Here is a 12,788-nt window from a genome sequence, read left to right as displayed (position 1 = left end):
ATACAATGCTAAATTGGCAGTGGTTTTTCATCTGTGCACTGTAAGGGCCATCTCAGTGCCTTGAAGGGAATGAATTGCAATTCCCCCAAAGGCAGTTTTTGCATCTCTTACAAACAGAATGGGTGGCTCCTCACCTGGCATCAGATGCCCCTGTCAGGGCAGGTAGCATGGCTGACTTTGCATGCTGCGTAGACTGGAGACAGAGTCCCTGACGGAGGCCTTGCTAACCCGAGGCAGGCAAAGCTCAAAGGCAAGCCAACAGCACATTTCTTCTGCCAGAAGCACCAATTTTAGACAAAATTAGAATTGGCAATGCTCTGTGGCTTAAGGTCACTGTGGCAGGAAGGAGGAGAAAGCAGAGAAGCCCCAGAGCCAGTGATGAATTAGTTTAAAAAGAATTAACTAAGACTTCCACGATTTAAAGAAAAGCCATCTTACATCTCCTAGGGTGAGGACCCCTTTCTTGCCTGAGACACAGGTGTGTGTGTGTGTGTGTGTGTGTGTGTGTGTGTGTGTGTGTGTATGAGAGACAGACAGATAGTGAGACAAAGACAGAGAGAGACAAACAGAAATATTGAAGCTTAAGATCCTGCATATTTTAAGCCATTTTTAAAAAAATAAAAAACACAAAGCCAGTTACTGGGCAACTATCCAAAGGAAAACACAGAAACTTCATTCTAGTAAATTATTTTAAAATACTACCAACTGGCTTTCACAGGTGTGTGGCAGGGGGAAGGCATTAGTAAACAGCCCATTTCCTGCCTGGGAAAGGCCAGTGAGGGTCACCCCATAAATCAGGGAAGGCCCAGCCCCTGCGGGGGCTAATCACCTGCCTCTTCCTCACCTCACCTCTTGCTCTGCCAGCTTCACCCCAGGAAAGCCCAGCACAATACGCACTTTAATTCCTTTCTCCTGAGGGCTTTCTATTGAAAAGCTCACCACCTTCCCCATGCCTGCTGGGTAAATGATTGACTGGCTCAAGCTCTCCCTCCTGCCGGGAGCCCACCAGCTCCTGCCGGGGAGCCTCCAAGGCCTCCAGCTCTGGGGAGGTCTCGGATTTGTTTTTTGTCATCCCAGGCATTTTTCCAAAATAAAGCATTTGTGTAAGTTCCCAACCAGCATAAGACATAGCCAGAAGGTAAGACTGACCAGCCCGGAAAATATAGGAGAGTTTTGGTCTAGTGGCTTCAACAGGTATCTGGGGAAGCTGAGGCCCGCCTTAGGTAGGAGCTCATCATGATCTTGCTGACATGAGTTGGAGGCAGTGAAGGCCCAGAATGGGGAAGAGGTTGTGAGAATGGGAACATCCAGTGCTATACTTGGATGACCTTGAACCTGGATGGCAAGTGATTCCCAGCTCCCTCCTGATATGTGTGCACAGTGGTGACATCCCAGACAACCCTCTGAGTGGAAGCGGTATCCTCTTTTTCCATCTGTAGCCCCTCAGATACTTCTGTTATAAAATTTAGTATTCTGGCCAGGCACGGTGGCTCATGCCTGTAACCAGCACTTTAGGAGACCGAGGCAGGCGGATCATTTGAGGTCAGGAGTTTGAGACCAGCCTGGCTAACATAGTGAAACCCCGTCTCTACTAAAAATACAAAAATTAGCTAGGTGTTGTGGCGCACGCCTATAATCCCAGCTACTGGGGAGGCTGAGGCAGGAGAATCTCTTGAACCCGGGAGGTGGAGGTTGCAGTGTGCCGAGATGGCGTCACTGCACTCCAGCTTGGGCAACAAGAGCAAAACTCCATCTCAAAAAAAGAAAAAATAGCATTCACCTTGGTAATAACTACAAATTGCTCCATAGTACTCAGGCAGAACATTTCATGCCTTTATTTTTCCAAAATCAAATCTGGTTCCCATTAAAACTACAATGAGCCAGGCATGGTGGCCTGTAATCCCAGCATTTTGAGAGGCCAAGGTGAGAGGATTGCTTGAACTTAGAAGTTCAAGACCAGCCTGAGCAATGTAACAAGACCTCAGTTTCCACAAATAAAGCAATTAGCCGGGCATGGTGATGTTCTCCTATGGTCCCAGCTACTCAGGAGGCTGAGGTGGGAGGATTTCTTGACCTCAGGAGTTCGAGACCAGTCTGGGCAACATGGCAAAACTCCATCTCTACGAAAAAAAAAAAAAAAAATTGGCCAGGCATGGTGGTAGGCACCTGTAATCCCAGCTACCTGGGAGGCTGAGGCAGGAGAATCGCTTGAATCTGGGAGGCTGAGGCAGGAGAATCGCTTGAACCTGGGAGGGTGGAGGTTGCAGTGAGCCGAGATAACGCCATTGCGCTCCAGCCTGGGCAACAGAGCGAGACTCCGTCTCAAAACAAAACAAAAAACGAAACAGAAAAATAAATAAACCATTTGGAAAGAAACTTATGAGGTGGGTAGTACAAGTGCTGGCGCCTCCCCACGAAGCCCTCTACTTCTGGCATTTGAGAAATCCTTGGGGGTAAACCCAGTTTCCTACTTTCTCTGGCTAAAAGGAAGCCCCCCTTTTGACAAACCTTGCTTATGTAAGCAACACTCCCTGCCAGCCTCTGTATTGCCTCACACACCAAAGAGTCACCAGACATTTGAGGAAATACTGCATCATGAAAGGGAGAGAAAAGACGAACAAAGAGAAAACACCTGACACCAGAGGAAACAGATGATTCAGGGAAGAAAATCTCAATTTAGGCCAGGTGTGATGGTTCATGCCTGTAATCTCAATACTTTGGAAGGCCAAGTTGGGAGTATCGCTTTAAGCCAGCAGTTCCAGACCAGCCTGGGCAACTCAGCAAGACCCTCATCTATACAAAAAATAAATTAGTAGGGAGCAGTGGCTTGCACCTGCAGTCCCATCTACTTGGGATCTGAGGAGGAAGGATCTCTTGAGCCCAGGAGGTCGAGGCTGCAGTGAGCCATGATTGCACTACTGCACTCCAGCCTGAGTGACAGAGTGGGACCTTGTCTTAAAAAAAAAAAAAAAAATCTCTATTCTCAGAAAAATTCAAGGTCACATTTTGTCTATAAGAATAGAATGCTATGTAATCCCAGCACTTGGGGAGGCCGAAGCGGGCAGATCACTTGAGGCCAGGAGTTTGAGAGCAGCCTGGCCAACATAGCAAAACCCCGTTATTACTAAAAATACAAAAATTAGCCAGGCGTGGTGGCGGGTGCCTGTAATCCCAGCTACTTGGGAGGCTGAGGTGGGAGAATTGCTTGAATCCGGGAGGTGGAGGTTGCAGTGAGCTATGAAAAGCTTAGAAAATGGAAAAGTCTCTTAAATTTAAAAAATTTTAATAAAATATTTAAAAGTTTAAAATAAATACATTTTTTAAAAGTAAACAAAAGGGTTAGAATATACAGCAGAGAAAACAATCTAGAGCATAACAAAGATTACAACACAAATAAAAGGGAACCATGCACCAGAAGACGAAGGACACAGAACTTCTCTGTAGGAGGTGGAGCATCTGACAAGTAGGAGTCCCTAAAAGAAAAGAATACAGAAAACGGATGAGCGAAAATTATCTTTAAAAATGTTGAAATAGGCCGGGTGCGATGGCTTACGCCTGTAATCCCAGCATTTTGGGAAGCCAAGGCGTGTGGATCACCTGAGGTTAGGAGTTCGAGACCAGCCTGTCCAACATGGTGAAACCCCATCTCTACTAAAAATACAAAAGTTAGCTGGGCATGGTGGTGCACGCCTGTAGTCCCAGCTACTTGGGAGGCTGAGGCAGGAGAATCACTTGAACCTGGGAGGCAGAGGTTGCAGTGAGCTGAGATCGTGCCACTGCACTCCAGCCTGGGCAACAAGAGCAAGACTCCATCTCAAAAAAAAAAAAAAAAAAAAAATTGAAGTAGATTTTCCAGAACTAAAAGGGGACCTGAATTTCCAAATTGAAAGGGCTTAAAAAGCATCAGATTGAATGAATGAACAAAGATCTACATTAAGAACTAAGATACATCCTGGCCAGGCGCAGTGGGCTCATGCCTGTAATCCCAGCACTTTGGGAGGCCAAGGCGGCAGATCACGAGGTCAGGAGATTGAGACCATCCTGGCTAACATGGTGAAACCCCATCTCTACTAAAAATACAAAAAATTAGCCGGGCGTGGTGGCAGGCGCCTGTAGTCCCAGCTACTCGGGAGGCTGAGGCAGGAGAATGGCGTGAATCCGGGAGGCAGAGCTTGCAGTGAGCCGAGATCGAGCCACTGCACTCCAGCCTGGGTGACAGAGCGAGACTCCATTTCAAAAAAAAAAAAAAACTAAGATACATCCTCATGAAATTTCTGAACATAAAAGAAAAAGGACCTGAAAAAACTCCAGAAGGAAGGATTACATCCAGATCATATAGAAGGAGTGACTGGCTCCTTCTTACCCAAAGCAGCCCCCACATCCCAGTGAGTCATTATCTCAGCACACTGTTCATTTCCCACACAGTTTTTCTCAGAATGTGTAAGTATTTTATTAATTGGAACACACGCTTTTCTGAATCTTCCATTAGACTCTAGGGTCTGAGTTCAGAGACTGTCCACGTCATTTGCTGTTGTATGTGCAGGACCAGACATAGCCCCAGCTAAATTTCAGGTCTGTGGTTTTTTTTGTTTTGTTTTGTTTTGTTTTTTTGAGACTGAGTCTCCCTCTGTCACCCAGGCTGGAGTGCAGCGGCACAATCTTGGCTCACTGCAACCTCCAACCTCCCAGGTTCAAGCAATTCTCACGCCTCAGCCTCCTGAGTAACTGGGATTACAGGCTTGCGCCACCACACCCGGCTAATTTTTGTATTTTTAGTAGAGTCGGGGTTTCACCATGTTGGCCAGGCTGGTCTCAAACTCCTAGCCTCAAGCAATCCACCCACCTCGGCCTCTCAAATGTTGGGATGACAGGCCTGAGCCACTGCTGACCCGGGTCTGTATTTTAATTGGAGGGGGATGCAGGGAAGGCAGGAGGCTGGAGTTGTTCCTTGGAAAGCTAGCAAACCAGCTTTGACTCCCACTAAGGTATAGAGCCTGATGCCTCAGCAAGCTCAACTGCCTGAGGGTGGAGGGGAAAGGGCACGAAAAGGGACAACCAGGGGCTGGCTCTGAGATAGACTTAAGTCTAGCACCACCTGGCAGCCTACACAACCCAAGAACATCCTTGGGAGAGGCCTCAGCCCAGAAGCTGCCTTTGGAGGTTGGGTTAACTACAAAATTAATCTGGTTTCCTAGAGCATGAAGTCTGGAGGAGGGAGAATGGAGCACAGAGATGAGGGCAATGGGACGAGAAGGAGACTTTGGGAGGCCCAGGAGCAGTGGGCTCCGTAGCTGCCCTGTCCATCTATAATAGACTCCACCCTCTTACAGGCTCAAGTTCACACTCTGATTAGCAGAGGACACTCTCATCAGACTCCTCTGCCTGACCCAAGAGCCACAGGTGGTAGCACAGACCTTCCTTCCCTCACAGGGCTGCTCCAGGTCACTGGTCTTACAGCAATGACTCTGATTCTGCTGGCAAGGGAGGGTCCAACGGCAGCTAAAGAACGACAGCTTCAGCCAAGCACAGTGGCTCATGCCTATAATCCCAGCACTTTGGGAGGCCAAGGCAGGTGGATTGCCTGGGCTCAGGAGTTCAAGACTAGCCTGGGCAACATAGTGAAACTCCATCTCTACTAAAACACAAAAAATTATCCGGGTGTGGTGGCATGCACCTGTAATCCCAGCTACTCGAGAGGCTGAGGCAGGAGAATCGCTTGAAGCAGGCAGGCAGAGGTTGCAGTGAGCCCAGATTGCGCCATTGCACTCCAGCCTGGGCGACAAAGCAGGACTCCATCTCAAAAAAAAAAAAAGGACAGCTTCACCCCATCTCTGTCTCCTCCTTCCCCCTCAGCCCCCGACAACGGCAAAGCACTGTTCCTCTTATTTAGTATTTCAGTGCAAAACAAGAGCAGCATGTGAGAGGGGTCAAGGCCTTCACAACAGGCACCTTGGAGTCCATGAGTGGTTCTATGGGAGACCTTCAAGTAGGTGAAACTGGAGAATTCAGAAAATGTGAAATGATGGACAGGAATCCTCAAAAAGCCACAGACAATGATGTCACCAACACATTTCAGAGAGTAGAGAGTCCTTCTAATTAAAATGCAATAATGACCCCACAATTCTACTCCTAGGAATATATCCAAAACAGGTGAAAGCAGGGACTCAACAAACACTTCTACACAAATGTTCATAGCAGCATTACCCACAATAGCCAAAAGGAAGAAACAACTCAAATGTCCATCAATAGACCAATGGAGGAACACAATATGGTCTAGCCATACAGAGATAGTATACTCGCCACATGCATTCTGATACATGCCGCAGTGTGGCTGGACCTCCAAGAAAACATTATGTTAAATGAAAAAAAAAAAAGATACAAAAGGCCACATATTATGTGACTGCATTTATATGAAGTTGCATAATGTCCAAGATTCATTCATGTTGTAGCACAGATCCGAACTACCTTTTTTGGTGGGCGTGGTGGCTCACGCCTGTAATCCCAGCACTTTGCGGGGCCGAGGCGGGTGGATCACCTGAGGTCAGCAGGTCGAGACCAGCCTGGCCAATATGGCGAAACCCCATCTCTACTAAAAATACAAAAAAAAAAATTAGCCAGGCGTGGTGGTGGGTGCCTGTAATCCCAGCTACTCAGGAGGCCGAGGCAGGAAAATTGGTTGAACCTGGGAGGCAGAGGTTGCAGTGAGCCGAGATCATGCCACTGCACTCCAGCCTGGGTGACAGAGCAAGACTCCATCTCAAAAACAGAGTTGTTTTTTTTTTTTTTTTTTTTGAGACAAGGTCTCACTATGTCACACAGGCTGGAGTGCAGTGGCGAGATATGGCTCACTGCAGCCTGGACCTCCCAGGCTCAAGCTATCCTCCCACCCCAGCCCCCCAGGTAGCTGGGACCACAGGCATGCACCATACACCTGGCTGATTTTTTAATTTTTTTTGTAGAGATGGGTTCTTTCTATGTTGCCCAGGCTAGTCTCAAACTCCCAGCCTTGAGTGATTCTCCTTCCTTGGCCTCCCAAAGTGCTGAGATTACCAACCTGAGCAACAGCACCTGGCCCATTTTTTTTAAATGGTTGAAGAATAGTCCAATGTACAGATGTCCCATGTGCCATGTGTGTGCCCCACTGTATCAGCCCAGTCCCATGGGTGGTTGCCAGGGGCTGCGAGGAGAGGAATAGACAGTGAATTCTAATGAAGTATGGCATTTTCTTTGGGGATGATTTAGACATTTTTCAAGAGTAAAATATTTTTCACTAGATAGACGTGGTGATTGTACAACATTGTGTATGTACTAAATGCTACTGAATTGTACACTTTTATGTATTTATTTAGTTTTGAGACCGAGTCTCCCTCTGTTGCCCAGGCTGGAGTCCAGTCATATGATGTTGGCTCACTGCAACCTCCACCTCCTGGGTTCAAGCGATCCTCCCACCTCAGCCTCCCAAGTAGCTGGGACTACAGGCGTGCACCACCACACCTAATTTTTTATATTTTTAGTAGAGACGTGGTTTCACCATGTTGGACGCCTGAATTGTACACTTTTAAATGGTTAATTTTATGTTATGTGAATTTCACCTCAATTTTTAAAACATGTAATAGGAGACGATTTCCCAAGCTGTGACCAGGGAGGAAGACGGGAGCTCCCAGCCCAAGGCTGCAGTCAGGAAGGAGGAGGCAGCAGCCATGTGGGAGGGACATGGACAGCCCTGCGCTCCTCTCTGACCACTCCCAGAGTGAGAGCGATCTCTAAGGGGTGGCACCCACTGAGGGGTAACCTAGGGGTAACCTACAGAGTAGCATCGAAGGAGGATTTTCCATTGTTTGCAATGGAGTACAAGATGCAACTCTCTGCCGTCTCCATACTAAACCTTCAGTAAAATTTGTGAAACCACGAATGCCTTTGGGCAACTGGAAATGTTCGGAGGGAAACTGCAGAAACATTGAGTTCCATGACTGGGCTGGCGCAGCATGGAGCAGACACATGTATTCTCAGGAGCAAAAGGACAAAGGGACGATGGATAACTGAGCTCCATGAGAAAGAAAACTCCATTTCATCTGAAAATATGAAGAGCTTCGGCCTCTTGTCATAAACATCAAAGACCACTGGCTGGGTGTAAGTGAGAAAGGCCACACCAGGGATGCACACAGACACGGGATTGGGAGCACGGTGAGGGGCGCCACAGGAAGAGAAGGAAGTTCCGAAGGGCTCCCTGCAACCCTGAAATCCCTGCTGGCCTAGAAGAGCCAAAGGCATGAGTGGGCTCATTCGGACACTCTTCCCGCTGCAGACCAGCGAGACAGGAGGAAGAGGCTCTTGGCCAAACAGCACGAAGCCCCCACGGCCCTGCGCTTTCTTATCTGCTGTTCCCTCTCCCTGGCATGCTCTTCCCCACAATCTCCAAATGGCTCCTTCCTTTCCTTCATTCAAGTTTCTCCTCAAATGTCGACTCCTCAGAGAGGCCCTCCCTTCTCAACCGGGGAGATCTGGAGACACACACATACTTCGCAGCTGCAGGCAAGCAGCGACTGTTGGATAAAAACAAGCGCTCACATACACAACAGAAGTCTCCAGGCCAGGCTGCAAGGCACAACTCCAGCTCAACTCCTCAGTGAAGTGACTGCCTCACACCAATGCAGAAAAACAAACTGAAATACAAAGGTTACCCCCACATGCACAGAACAGCCAGTTTCCCACGGAGTCAACACATTCAGAGAGAAGCCAAAGGGCCGGAGTTTCCAGAAACCACAGCCTCCGTCCTCCTCCCAAACGCTAAGGCAACCACTCAAACAACTAAAGATCTAAAGAGAGAAGAGACGGTGAGATGCCACTTTGCAGAGTAAATGCTAAGGGGATGATTCCAGCCGTGCTCAGGAAGACAGGAAAGGGAAATTTCTCCCATATTATTTTTGACAATGAAGATAAATATTTCTATCACCCACAAGCTTAGGCAACCTCTCCCTCTCTCCACCGCATCCCCAGGTAACTACCATATGGTTCCATTTACATAAAACTCTATATTTTGTCACTTCCTATGTTTATGTCTTTTCCTTACCTATTGCCATGTCTGCAACCTCCAGAACCATGGGGAACAGAAGTATTGAAAGTGAGTGTACTTACTGCCAACCTCAGGGGAAAACAACGCGGTCTTTCATCATGTGATATGATGTTAGCTGTAGTCAGGTACATTTCAGGGAAGACTAGTTCATAGATTCCTGTCATATAACATCTTTCTGTGGACTTGTCACATGACAAGTTGGCTGGGTATGGAAAACGGGGTCATACAACACCCCTCAAACATAGTCCTCAGTAGGCATTATTCCATCTTCTTCTTTCATTTAAAATTGCCAAGAAGGCAAGTCACAGTGGTTCATGCTTGTAATCCCAGCATTTTGGGAGACTGAGGTAGGAGGCTCACTTGAGCCCAGGAGGTCGAGGCTAGAGTGAGCCAAGATGGTGCCACTGTACTCCAGCCTGGGTGACAGACTGAGACCCTGCCTCTAAAAGAAAAGAAAAGAAGAGAAGAAATCTGAAGTTAGACTACTTTTCTTAGCATATAACTTTATTTTTGCCATATTCTTTTTAAGCTTGTCTTTCAAAAATTTCACTCAGAGTTTATAGTTCTTTATTATAATGAAGGACTTCTTTGATGTAAACATTTATGTCTTCCTTCATTTCAGGAAATTCTGTTTTTATTATGCTTTTAATTTTTTTCTATTCCCTTTGTTCTATTGTATTTTTAGGTCTATAAAATTAGCGGTACATTAGATATCTGGGTTGTCCATCCTCCATATAGAGCGTTGCTTTTCCTCAGATGGAAATGGCTATTCTCTTTATTGCAGTGATGGTTTCATAGGTGCGTGTGAACCTAAACTGATCCAGTTGTACATTTTAGATACATGCAATTTAGTATACTGCAAGTATACCTCAATAAGATTCAAAAAATCTACTTGAAGACACAATCTATTTTAAAGATAAGATTAAAATAATTAACTTAGGCTGGATGAGGTGACTCATGACTGTAATCCCAGCACTTTGGGAGGCTGAGTCAGGAGGGTCGCTTGAGCCCAAGAGTTCAAGACCAGCCTGGGTCTGAGGGCAAGGCCTCATTTCTCTTTTAAAAATAAATAAATAAATAAATTAGAAATGAGGAAGTCATATGATTAAAAATCAGCACAGAGCATTGAATCTATTAACTATAAATTACATCCAAGTAATGCAGAAGCTCTAATTACAAGAATATTGTAATTCCTGGGAAAGAGAGGAATATTTCATTATTTTCAACAGACAATGATATAAAGTAGGACAAACACTCCAGAACAAGTAAATAAAATTAGGAAATGGAGAAATAGATGCTCCAAGAGTACATTTTCTCTTTTTTTTTTTTTTTTTTTGAGACAGCAGCTTGCTCTGTCACCCAGGCTGGAGTGCAGTGGTGCAATCATAGATAACCGCACCCTTGAACCCCTGGGCTTAAACGATCCTCCTGCCCCAGCCTCCCAAAGTGCTGGGATTACAGGCATAAGCCACCACACCTGGCCCATTTTCTCATCTTTTATATGAGAAAATAAAGAGGGATGGTTATGTTACTGAATTTCATACATTGTGAAAAATAGGTTTAAGGATACTATTTAAAGTTGTGAAAGTAGCCGGCCATAAAAAGGAATGAGATCATGTCCCTTGCAGGGACATGGATGAAGCTGGAAGCCATCATCCTCAGCAGACAAACACAGGAACAGAAAACCAAACGCCTCATGTACTCACTCATAAGTGGAAGTCGAACAATGAGAACACGTGGACACAGGGAGGGGAACATCACACACCGGGGCCTGTCGGGGGTGGAGGGTGAGGGGAGGGAATTAGGGGATGGGTTGATGGGTGTGGTAAACCACCACGGCACACGGATACCTATGTGACAAGCCTGCACGCTCTGCACATGTATCTCGGTTTTATTTTTTTAGAATAAAGAAAAAAAAAGTTGTGCAAGTAATCACTAGTAGAACCCCAAAGACTATCTGCCTTCTGAATTCAAAGAAGAGAAAAACATAACAAAAGATAGAAACCAAAGAAAGAGCAAGAAAGTATTAAAATTACATACACAGAGAGAGTTTTAGATAGAGGTAATCAATTATAATATAGTCAAATAAGCTTAATAAAATCTAAAAATTCTCACATTACTTGTTTTTTTTTTTTTTTTTTTTTTTTTGAGACTGAGTCTCGCTCTGTCGCCCAGGCTGGAGTGCAATGGTGCCATCTTGGCTCACTGCAACCTCCGCCTCCCAGGTTCAAGCACTTCTCCCTGCCTCAGTCTCCCGAGTAGCTGGGATTACAGGCGCTCACCACCATGGGGTTTCGCCATGTTGGCCAGACTGGCCTATGAACTCCTGACCTCAGGTGATCCGCCCGCCTCGGCCTCCCAAAGTGCTGGGATTACAGGCGTGAGCCACCGCATCCGGCCTCACATTACATTTAAAAAGATAACTCTAAATATATGCTGATATATTAAAACAAGGTGGTTCAGAACAGCTGAAAGTCAAATTACAAGCAAAATAATATGATGGTACCTAAATAAATGATGGTCCCTGAATAAAAAGAAAGCAAGAGAAAGTGTATAATAGTCACATCTGAGAAAGCTGAATTCAAGAAAAACTCAGTAAGTTATATGAAAAGATCACTTGATTATGATGAACCTCATGATCCACAGTGAAAAGATATTTCTCAGGATCTGCAACAAAGGACAGTAACATATTAGTGTAGGATATTTTAACTCACTTCTCTCAGTCCCTATCATCAAGTAAGCGGGTAAAAAAGATGCAGAGGCTGACCAGGCACGGTAGCTCACACCTGTAATCCCAGCACTTTAGGAGGCCGAGGCCGGTGGATCACAAGTTCAGGAGATCGAGAACTTCCTGGCTAACATGGTGAAACCCTGTCTCTACTAAAAATACAAAAATTAGCCGGGCGTGGTTGTGGGCGCCTGTAGTCCCAGCTACTCGGGAGGCCGAGGCAGGAGAATGGCATGAGCCCGGGAGGTGGAGCTTGCAGTGAGCCGGGATCGCGCCACTGCACTCTAGCCTGGGCGACAGAGCAAGACTCCGTCTCAAAAATAAATAAATAAAATAAAAAATAAGATGCAGAGGGTCTGAATAAGATGGACAAGGCTGATCTTACACTGTACATGTATGTCTAATTCTGTGTCCTGAAAGGAAAGAGAAAATAGAATACACTGTCTTTTCAAAAACAATAGGAGACTTACACAATTTTACAATATATTAGATCACAAAGAAAACCTCAATAAATTCTAAGAAGTGAAATAGAAACCACGTTCTCAAGCTACAATAAAACTAAAAATAATAAGGTTGAAGCAAAAAGAAAATTAATACTCAACCTATCGGAAATGTAAAAAAAATCTCGTTTTTCCTCATTTTAAAGAGGAAATAAAACTACAACTGCAGCCTATCTAGGAAATTACAATAATGAGGATATTATATATCAAAACCTCATGGGACAAGGTCAAAGCTGAAGGCAAAATGATATTTATATTCTTAAATACTTCACGGAAAGCAAAAGTGAATCCAGTATTCTGCAGGGAGGAGGGACTTAGAAAAATTAATACAAAACTTAAAGGAAACAGAAGGGAAAACAGAAGAATTGTTAGCAAATTCATGATTTATCACTGGACACGGTGGCTCACTCCTGAAATCTCAGCACTTTGGGAGGCCAAGGCGGGTGGATCACCTGAGGTCAGGAGTTCAAGACGAGCCTGGCCAACC

The 12,788-nt window shown here is 45.6% G+C and overlaps 1 long non-coding RNA gene across 5 annotated transcripts in view; it reads right to left on the bottom strand.

The window, feature by feature from the left end:
• CLDN14-AS1 (CLDN14 antisense RNA 1) overlaps positions 1-12,788 on the bottom strand; it is a 68,202-nt gene that overhangs the window by 43,384 nt on the left and 12,030 nt on the right. For 4 of the 5 annotated variants that reach the window (NR_183529.1, NR_183530.1, NR_183531.1 and 1 more), the window contains exon 2: positions 9,136-9,515. This is a non-coding gene — a long non-coding RNA (CLDN14 antisense RNA 1). Of the gene's footprint in view, positions 1-3,266; positions 3,474-9,135; positions 9,516-12,788 lie in introns of those variants that run through there. The other variant, NR_183533.1, reaches the window with a different exon arrangement.

The sequence above is a fragment of the Homo sapiens genome, chromosome 21 (assembly GCF_000001405.40).
Source record: "Homo sapiens chromosome 21, GRCh38.p14 Primary Assembly".
In the NCBI taxonomy this organism is placed as follows: Eukaryota; Metazoa; Chordata; class Mammalia; order Primates; family Hominidae; genus Homo; species Homo sapiens.
Note: the sequence above shows the minus strand (reverse complement) of the source record. Positions and strands in the feature narration are given on the sequence as shown.